This window comes from Homo sapiens, chromosome 2 (genome assembly GCF_000001405.40).
Source record: "Homo sapiens chromosome 2, GRCh38.p14 Primary Assembly".
Lineage (NCBI taxonomy): Eukaryota > Metazoa > Chordata > Mammalia > Primates > Hominidae > Homo > Homo sapiens.
Window position 1 is genome coordinate 151525695 of NC_000002.12, and position 10260 is coordinate 151535954.

Genomic DNA, 10260 nt, shown 5'->3' on the forward strand with positions numbered 1-10260 from the left:
CTTCTGTTATTAATAGGTTAGTAATATCTGATATGGCTAGATTACATGTCCTGTAGCAAAACCCACATTTGCCATAATTGCCAGAATTGGAAAGCCAATAAATACTGGGTCATTTTAAAAGTCAGAGTTTAAGATTCACATGTAGATATTGATGGTAAGAGTGAAGCTACATAAAGGAAGCAAAAGGCAACTGACATTATTTCACCAGATTCTACAGTCAAGTGGCATTGTTGCTGCCAAGAGACCGGTGGTTGATCACTTACATCACTGACATGCTTGGTCACTTCCTTGACGTGAACAGTGTCCCGGGTCTCTGGTAGTGTTGTGTATGAGCCCTGTGCCAAGTGCTTCTTGACATGGTCCTTGTACTTGTTCTGGGGGAATCCATAGAGAGCTCATTAAGGCATCTGCCTGGGGCGTTCTCCCAAGAGGGAAGCAGAACTCATGGGCGGCTGGGGGTTACCTCAGACACCAGGTTGCTGACAGTCTTCGCCAGCAGGATCTGAGGCGTGTCAGGTACGGCATGGCAGGTTCCTCTTTCCTTGACATGTTTCTCTTTGTATTTCAGCTTCAGGGGCAGGAAAAGGGGCATTTCTTTAGCTCTGCTGGATATCCTACATATTTTTATTACACCCTCAAACCAGTAGAACAGCAGCGTTGACAATACTAAACTCAATAAAAGATGTGATACTTGCAAATTTTGGGAAATATTCAAAAGGGTTTTTTCCTTATCTCTAGCAAGTTGTGGTTTTAATAACAATCAAAATGGATCTCGTGATGAATCTTTATATAGTCACACTTACGTTCACAGCACGCTCAGATATGCCATTTGTCCCTCCCATAAGCCCTCCATGAGCCCATTATTATTCCGTCTTTACAGAGGAGGAAACTGTAGTGAAGGGAAAGTATGATCCCATAGAAAACAAATCATGGCGTTTCCATAAAGAGTCCAGCCAGGCCTTCAGGGTCCTAATTCCTGCTGTGTGAACTCTCTGCTGGTGCAGTATAAATCGAGGACTGTCACCTGGATCTAATGGCCCTTGCACTGCTGCTGCCCTGCTTGACTGCTGGCGCCCCTCACAGGACAGGCCATAATTCAGGACCCATACCTGAGCCCTGATGGAAGCAGCTCTTCTCCATCCTTCCCTGGTGTCCCTGGGGACTGTACCATGGAAGATGGCCCTGAGTGAGGTTAGGCATCATGGAAGGAACTAGGTACTTACATCACTTTCTATTAAAGTATTCCTGAGGGCGAGCACCGTGTTTTTGTCATCAGTGACAGAAAGCTTGCAACCCTTGAGGAACTCCCGGTCCAGCTTATATTCAAACTGTGATAGAAGAAAGGCAGAAGAAAAGGGAAGGGTGACAGCACAGGAGGAAGCTGGGCATTTGATTAAACACACAGGGAGTCCTCTTAAGGAGAGGACAAAGACTTGCTACCAGAATGAGGAGAAGAGCTTCTTGGTCCCTCACTGCATTTTGGACTCCTCCTTTTCAGCCTAGCTGCCAGGACCAAGCCCCTCCATCCCCAGTCTTCCCCCAGACTCTCCCCAGCCTCAGTCAGAACTCAGTCATTTGTGTCCAGGCCCAGCCAAAGGAGAATAGGCTCCATGGGCAGGTTTGGGTTCTGAGCTCGCCTATCGCTCCCCCAACCATCCTCCTCTCCTTCTCGGATCTCAAACGAGCAAGGGTTAACACTCATGATAGTGGTTATTATAAATAATTATTCATTGTATTTCTCAGGTGCAGTATGCAGTTACAATCGTCTGTGTCTCTCCTGTCTTACATCGCTTTGCTGCAGGGATGACTTGGCAGCCTGGAGGAAGTCCGGTCGGTCAGGAGTCCACTTCCAGTGGGCTTTGTTGGCTTCGTACTGTTTCTTATAGTCCAGCTGTTTTTAACAGGAGAGAAAGGAATCACTTGATTCAGTAGGCTAAATTCATAAACACACACATGGCACAGAGGGGCTCTTGCATTTCAAAACATCTCAAATCATGATTCCTAATGCAAGAGGAAGCCCCAATTGAAATTTCTGTACAATTTATGCAGCTAGTCATCCACTCAGAGGTCATCTGTTGGGACCCTGTGGTCCCGAAATAGAGGCTAAAATTTTTAAAGGCCTCCGGGTGAAATGATTCTTCAATCTCTCTAGTTCTGCCAGTCCAGCCTAATCATCTTCAGAATCGAGTACTTTTAATTTCAAACTAAATTCGGGTTTAATTTTTACCAAAAATGATCAAACACTAGGTATTTATTTTCTGCCAGGCACTTTTCTAAGTTCTTTACAAATTACAAAACTAATTAAATGAATTATAAAATTTTATAAAATTAATTCACCTAATCTTCATAACAACTGCATGAAATAGACAGCTGAAGAACTGGATAGAAAGGTTAAGTAAACTTCCCAAGGTGAGACTTAGCAATTGGTGGAGCTGGAATTTAAACCCAGGCAGTCTGGCTGCAGAGGGGCTTGCATGCTTCCTAGACCCTTCAGGGCTGGAGAACTGGCTGCATTGGGCCAAATCTGAGCCACAGAAGTGTATGTAATTTAATTTGAGTGTCCTTGGGAGGAGCCTGCACTATTAGGCACATTTCTTTCCTCATTCTTTCTCTCTTTTTAAAATTGAGGTATAATTTATACACAATACAATGCACATGCTTTTATGTATACTATTTAATAAGGTTTTTTTCCCCTCATTTTATTTTGAAAAATTTCAAACATACAAAAATGTTGCAAGAATATTACAGAGAATACCCATACAACCTGGATTTTGCAAGGTACGTTTTACTGCATTTGCTTTATCTCACATCTGTCCTTCTATCCGTCTGCCCTCAATCCATCCTCAGGATACGTACAAGCTCTTTGCCAGCTCCTACAGGGATTCCAGTTTGCTAGCCCTCATAAATATATGTCCCCTCTAGCACTAGTGGGTACTAATTCGGTTACAATGGTTTCATTGTATAACCATTTAATATATTTTTAAGAAGTCAGTGCTCATCTAAATGCACAAAATTATTTCTGTAGTTGAGGCCTTAAGATGCTGCACCCAAGAAGAGAGTCAACGCAGGGAATATCTGAGCAGGAAGAAGGTCTAGGCCAATGCCTGATGGCACCAAATGGCTCAATGTTTTCTTCATCAGAAGAAGCAGATTGTAGAGTTTGAGGCAGGAGGAGAGCACAGGGAAAGAGAATGAAAAATGCTCAGGCACTTTCCAAAAATGCAACCTACATTTCAGAATTAAACGTCCCATTTCTCAGCCACCCACCGCAAAAGCTGAGTGGGTGTAGCATCCATGGCATGGGATGAAGCTTCCTTTGCTCTTCCCTATGCTCCTTTGTGAGGACCAATGCAGCATTTATATTTTAGCATCATTGTTCATGCTCCTGGGGCCTGACTCTTGCTTTGGAATCAATCACTAGAGCTGAATTGCCTGAAGAGATGTAAAAAGAGGCCATGTGTCCTACAGAAGCTGGTAAATCCCCCACCATGCTTGGGGAAGTTTCTGGAACTTACATTGGTGTTGACTTTGTAGGCGTCCTTGGCTGCTTTGATATGAACAGCATCTGGCTCAATGGTGCAGTTGGATTTATTTCTTTGGTATACTTCTTTGTATTTCAGCTGTGGGAGGAAACACAGTGACAAGATTAATTTTTTTATAGCAGCATACTGAGCATCTTAAAAAACAAGAAATTAAATCCATGCATGACTATAGTACACAATGCTCCTTAAGACGGAATTTTAAAAATCTGCTGTGGAGCAAGGATACAGCCATGCAGAGATGCACCTTCCTATCTCAGATCAGGGCACACTGACTATGGTCATCAGTGTTGCCATATAATTTTTTTTTTTTTTTTAACAGATTCTCTCTCTGTCACCCAGGCTGGAGTACAATGGTGTGATCTCAGCTCACTGCAACCTCCGCCTCCCAGGTTCAAGCAATTCTCCTGCCTCAGCCTCCTGAGTACCTGGGACCACAGGCATGCGCCACCTCACCCGGCTAATTTTGTATTTTAGTAGAGATGGGGTTTCGCCACGTTGGCCAGGCTGGTCTCGAACTCGTGACCTCAGGTGATCCCGCCCACCTCAGCCTTTCAAAGTGCTGGGATTACAGGTGTGAGCCACTGTGCCCAGCCTGCCATATAATTTTTGTTTCTGTGCTTGTGCTGAAAGGACCAGTTGGAACCCTATTCATTCAGGTTTTCCTTTCCCCAAATCAGCAAATCTTGAGTTCAGAACATCTTGATAACTGCTGATGGAAGAGAAGCCTTTCCCTACCAGCTCACCCAGACAGAATTAGTCTTGCTCTCCTTCTGTGCTCCGGCAGTTATAGCTATTATCATATCGTGTTATAATTTTTTTTAATCTGCCTATTCTTTCCATTAAGGACCCCTTAAGGGCAAAAACTGTTTATCATCCATCATCTCATTCCTAGTGTCAGGCACATAGACAATATTTGATGAATGAATGAACTGATGAATACAGCAATCATTCTGCCTTTTAAAAATATATAGAACTGTATATTGTCATTGCTGGAGACATACCTAGCAAGTTTTGGTATATGTGGGTTTGGATAGGAGGGAAAGGCACAGAGAAGGCTTAGCATCTGCAGGCCCAACAGGCAGTTTTTCCATCCTGGGCCTGGGACTTCCAGCTTCACCCACTTTTGCTCTTCTTAAATTTCAGGGTCGAGGGCCTCGATCTGGGCTTTTTCATTAATCGTTGGGGAAGGATCCTAGGTTTTAATGTGACTAAGGCCAAAGTAAACTGTTCCGAGGGAGCCATAGTGGGGTTTACTAAACTGATCATAGGAATCACAATTTTCCTGGCTTTGCCATAGACCTAGTTTACCAATTTACTTATCAGTATCTTTAGGAGAAAGTCGTGGAAATTCATTTTTAAAAAATCAGTACCTCAGGATATGTTTAAGCCACGTGGAGACCCATCTGGGGAGAAGTCCCAGGCATGTGGAGAGGCCACATGAAGGGGTTCCTGTCTCGTCTACACAATAGCCCAGCTCCCAGCCCGCAGCCATCACCAATGGCTAGCCATGGGAGTGAGCCACCTGGATGTCCTGGCTTGACTGAGCCCCAGGTGTCTGCCAGCAACATGGGGAGCAGGACTGTTCAGCTGTGTCCAGTCAACTTACCGAATCATGAGCAAAAGAGATGACTATTATTTTAAGCCACTAAGTTTTAGGGTGGTTGTTACACAGGAATAGATAACTGGACCAGGGTTTGTTACATCTCATTAGAAGGAGGCCAAGATGAGAGGGACTGCTAAACCATTCTAGTACTTACATCACTGACTTCATCTTTAACCTTGCGGACATGCAGCAACATGGGTGTGTCGTGGATTGTGGTGTAGCCTCTGGGTTTGGCCTTGTTGTATTCCAATTTATAAAGGATCTGAAAGATCAAAAAGCAGAAAGACATCATGTCATGCTTCTCAATGTATAATATCAAAATATAAATGCAAAGTTTTTTCCTGAGTGAATATAAAGGAAAGAGAATTCTATGAATTTGACAGGTGCTTTCATGCTCTCTGCTAAGACTTCAGTGTTTCCAGCTGGCGTGTCTGCCAGTTTGGTCACAACAACTCTCTTTTTTTCTTTCTTTTTTTTTTTTTTTTTTTTTTTTTTGAGACAGAGTCTCACTTTGCCACCCAGGCTGGAGTGCAGTGGCATGATCTTGGTTCACTGCAACCTCCATCTCCTGGGCTCAAGCAATTGTCACGCCTCAGCCTCCTGAGTAGCTGGGACCACAGGCATGCACCACTGCATCTGGCTAATTTTTATATTTTTAGTAGAGATGGGGTTTTGCCATATTGGCCAGGCTGGTCTCAAACTCGTGGCCTCAAGTGATCCACCTGCCTTGGCTTCCCAAAGTGCTGGAATTACAGGCATAAGCCACCACGCCCGGCCACAACAATTCTTTATTGGGGAGGAGAATCCTGTGCATAACAGGACATCTCGCACCCCTGCCTCCCTCCCACTAAATGGCAGTAGTCTCCCAGACTTTGTGACAATTTAAAATGCCCCTCCATGTTTGCAGATGCCCCCTGAGTTTGAGAAGGTATTCAGTGTTTCTTGCACTTACATCGCTGATTTGTTTGTTGACTTTTGTAGTACGCAGGTGTTCTGGAGTATCCACAATTGAGGTAAATTTGTCCTTTGATTTTTCATAGTTTTTCCTGTATTTGATCTAAATTGTGGAAGAGAAGAAAGAGCTCTAAGAAGTTGTAGAGTGGGCTTTAAGGTATCTAATTGTCCTCTTGAAACACCAGAGTGGGAGATGGTATCTAGCTTTCTCTTTAATTCCTAACTGGAAATGTTTACTATAAATTTGTGTCTGATAGCAAAAGTGAAATGGAGTGAGCAGATGATACTACTACTAATAATTTCCTTTTTTTGTTTCCCTCCGAGACGGAGTCTTACTCTGTCACCCAGGCTGGAGTGCAGTGGTGCGATCTCGGCTCACTGCAACCTCCACCTCCCAGATTCAAGCAATTCTTCTGCCTCAGCCTCCCAAGTTCCAATATGTTTTATACACATGTACTCGGAGGCCCCCAGAGGTTACGAGACTGACCCAAGGGCACATTTAGACCAAATCTCAGAGCAGGACTAGAACCTGTTCTCTGGAGTCTGACAAATATTGTTTTACTCATAACATATTGTATTGAACATGTACAATCTCCAAAGGCATTTTTCCATGTCAAAGATGAAACAGGGATGTAAAATAAAGAATGAGTATATATGAAGTATTTATCATTTTAAAAAATTCATTTGTTTTTGCAATTTTCAAGTCATAATTATTTTCATGCACAGAAGCTGTTTTAAGCAGGACAGATACAGAGAGCACCATAAAATTTCATGCACAACTATTTGAGGATCATATAAGGACAAAGGAGGAAGTTCAGGCAAACAGGATATTTATAGGAGGAGAAATGAGGAGGTTAAGCTCTTAATTGGAGCTTAACCTCCTCATTTCACATATTGATTTCATGGTAAACTAAAATGACAAAACAAGTTGCTAAGAGGAAAGCTCAATTAACTTTTTTTTTTTGGTCTGGGAAAAATGGTATTATTACTAACATTGTGTCTGGTAGTTACCAATTATCACTGTTTATTGCTGCATCAAATTTACCTTTCAGCATGTGCTGGAAAGTGCATGCTTCAGTTGGCCTTCTAAAAAGGCATTATTATCAGAGACACTGTTAACCTGTGTGTGTGGGATCAGATGTGCTGGAAATAACCTAGCAATTCAGCATCAAAGTCAAGAGGCGCCATGAATATATACAATATTCATAGAGCTGCACGGTAATCCTCATCTCCCTGCAACAGTTGTAGTGATAATTGAACAAGAGACACATTAGATGAAAACATTAAATATTCAGACCTTTTACATGCTGTTGAATCTACTTACTATCTTCAATCTCTAAGGAATCTATTTCTTTGAGGCAAATACTGAAAAGTATAAATTAATGTTATACCACTTTGGAAATAACACTTGAAAGAATCAGTTAATTTTATTAAGAGTTCTGAAAGTGTCAGATGATGTACGGATGACCACTGTCCCATCACCTTTGGCCACATTCAGAGATCATTTACAAGGAATGAATATTTACATAGCTTTACCATATGAAGCCAGCATGGGCAGGGAGTGGAAGAGGAAATCAATGAAAGCATACAAGGGAATGCATCCAAGACTTCTTCTAAACCTCCTTCTTCACATCCCATCAGACATTACCTGGCTCCACATATGCGAATTGTAGAGAGCAGTCAACATATCTGGACGCAGAATTTCATTACATCCATGTTGCAGAAACATCTTGGCACTAGATTTATATTTTCTCTGTCCATGCAAAGAGCAGTGAAGCACAAAAGAGACTTATGAAGACAGAAAAGAACACGGCTCTATATCCCAATCACCTCTGAGTGAAGAGATGTAGGCATACACACTTTATGTACTCACATATGTGCGGGTGAAGACATCAAATACATTATAATGTGAAGCAGAATGACTGCAATGCTTGCGGTTGGCCATTCATAGTCCTTGTGAATGGGGAATGATACAGCTAGTTTCACTTACGTTACCACCAAAATAGCTTTATAGAAAAGAAGACATCTTTGGAATAGAAAGATATATAGTAAGGAGTTATGTCTTCTTTCCTTCCATTAATTTTTGTTTGTTTTTTGTTGTTGTTTGTTTATTTTTTGCTTTTGCAACTCAATCTGCAGTTTACAGTTGCAGTTTTCAAACAGGTTCTCCAGAAGAGTAAAGGATGGGAGGACCCAGCTTTTCCTTTCATCTTCACCACAGCACAAGTGAGAACACAGAGCATGGACTGGCACACTCAAATAGCTGACGGGCTTTTTGGGTGGCTAGACAGATACTTTGAAACAGAACAACCCAATATCATAGGCAGAACCTATGACATCCTTGCAGCAGACGGGATGACATCTCATGAGAAACTGGGAGCACAGTCCTGCCTGGGCCACCGGCCAGCCCCATCACAGTACCTGACTGATCTGGTCGCCTGCGGTCTTAGCCAGCAGATGTCTAGGCTCATCGACTACCAGGTGGTATTTATCTTTCCGCTGCTCATAATCAGCTCTGTATTTTTTCTGCTCAAACATCATAGCATATTATAGCAAGAGTACAACTTCAAGGCTACACAAAAATGTCTCAAGGTAAACACTCCAGAGGGCCAGAACATGTCATCTCTAGTGGCGGGCTCCCAACATACCCAAGACAATAAAAACAGGGAAGCAAAGAGAGTCAAGTGGAGGAAGATTACCTGAAGAAGGCTGGAGTGTGGGATAGGTCAGATTTATGACACCAAAATTAGAGTTCCTTGTGCCCAAACATTTTCCATCTTTGCATATGATGCCATTAACAACATTAGGTTTTATGGCATCTAACGGTATATTTAAAATAGGGTACTGATCAGCTACAGCTTTACCAACTAAGGCTGTGAGAATCTCAAAGCATAACTGATGCTAAAACATCCACGGGAAATTTGTAATAGTCTTCTAATGCTATTAATTTACTGGATTATAAAGGAGACCTGGAAATTCTTCATGAAATAGAAAAATAGAAACAAAATATATCAAGATTGTATTCATAGGAAGCTACTGGCAGTAATTCTTCAGGGTTGTCCAGTCTGGAAATCTACTGAAAGTGAACTGAATCAAATGTAAAGACAACAAACAAAAAAGTCATACATTTAAGTAAATATACCATTGGCTATATTTTCATTTTTAGAAATATTGTACTAATTTTCTCACGGAATTTTTGAACTTACAGAAACTGTAAAAAATCTGAAAATAGGAAATTAAATACAACTTTAACTATAAAACCATCCCAACTAAATAAATTCATAGCTTGTTTATTTCAGCCATCTTGAGCTAAATTTAACTTAAATTATTGCAAAGATGGTTACAGGAAAGGCTGGATAAAATAGAAAGAAAAAATTTGGGTGCAGATGGATACTTCTGTGCACCAATATATGTGGGAGTAACAATGGCAATATCTTTGAAGCATGAATCACAACTATTCCTTTAGCGTAGCTCTTCTAACAACTGACATTTTGGTGCCTTAGTAGAGGATACTAAATTAACCTTGAACTTCTGTGTCTTCCAAATCTACACAATATAGATTGTGTAATATATAAGGGAGTTCCGCTGACAGTCAAGAAAATCCTTTACCTGCCTGGTATTGTCACCCGCAGGGCTGTGCTGCCCTGTGTTTGTGCAGAGGTGCTGATGTTTGCGGGGCTCTCCCACCACTGAACGGTCCCTTCACTTGTTCTTATTTGTAGTTTGGCAGAGCTTGTTGGATGGTGACATTATAGAGTCTTTTCCAAATCTTTAGTTAAAATGAAAACTTAGGATGGCTTTCCTGTCATTCTGTGTATTGGGCTTTAATTTAAAAAAACTCTGAGACTTCTTTAGGGAATTGAATAGGCTTAATTGGAGCAGTTTATTCATACATACCTCATTCATCAATTGAGTTGCATACTTGAAATGCCTATTGATCGGAGAGTCGGCAACATACTTGAAATCTGACTTTGTCCTTTCAAATACTTCTTTATACTTATACTAGAAAAAACAGAACATGGTTACTTGACAGCAGGCTATGATTATCTTAAGAATGAGACATGCTGTTTATCATATGATATAATTGTGATAATTAATTCATAGAACTAACACATATTCGTTTGTTTGTTTTGAGACAGGGTTTCACTCTGTTGCCCAGGC

General features: G+C 41.5%; 2 protein-coding genes across 51 annotated transcripts in view; one reads left to right on the forward strand and one right to left on the reverse strand.

Annotated features, from left to right (window-relative positions):
• RIF1 (replication timing regulatory factor 1) overlaps nt 1-8741 on the forward strand; it is a 124534-nt gene extending 115793 nt beyond the window's left edge. For 3 of the 4 annotated variants that reach the window (XR_007077544.1, XR_007077534.1, XR_007077543.1), the window contains one exon: nt 8239-8741. The gene's annotated coding sequence lies outside the window, so the exon portion shown is untranslated. The remainder of the gene's footprint in view (nt 1-8238) is intronic. The other variant, XR_007077537.1, reaches the window with a different exon arrangement.
• Nucleotides 1-10260, reverse strand: part of NEB (nebulin) — a 249138-nt gene that overhangs the window by 40356 nt on the left and 198522 nt on the right. For 40 of the 47 annotated variants that reach the window (XM_011511227.3, XM_011511226.3, XM_005246613.3 and 37 more), the window contains 9 exons: nt 9997-10101; nt 7748-7852; nt 6098-6202; nt 5300-5407; nt 3516-3620; nt 1787-1891; nt 1224-1328; nt 464-568; nt 264-374 (listed from right to left, as the gene is read on the reverse strand). In XM_011511227.3, the coding sequence (XP_011509529.1) occupies nt 264-374; nt 464-568; nt 1224-1328; nt 1787-1891; nt 3516-3620; nt 5300-5407; nt 6098-6202; nt 7748-7852; nt 9997-10101 (954 nt within the window). Of the gene's footprint in view, nt 1-263; nt 375-463; nt 569-1223; nt 1329-1786; nt 1892-3515; nt 3621-5299; nt 5408-6097; nt 6203-7747; nt 7853-8520; nt 8626-9996; nt 10102-10260 lie in introns of all 47 variants that reach the window. The other 7 variants (NM_004543.5, XM_017004184.2, XM_005246615.3 and 4 more) reach the window with 2 other exon arrangements.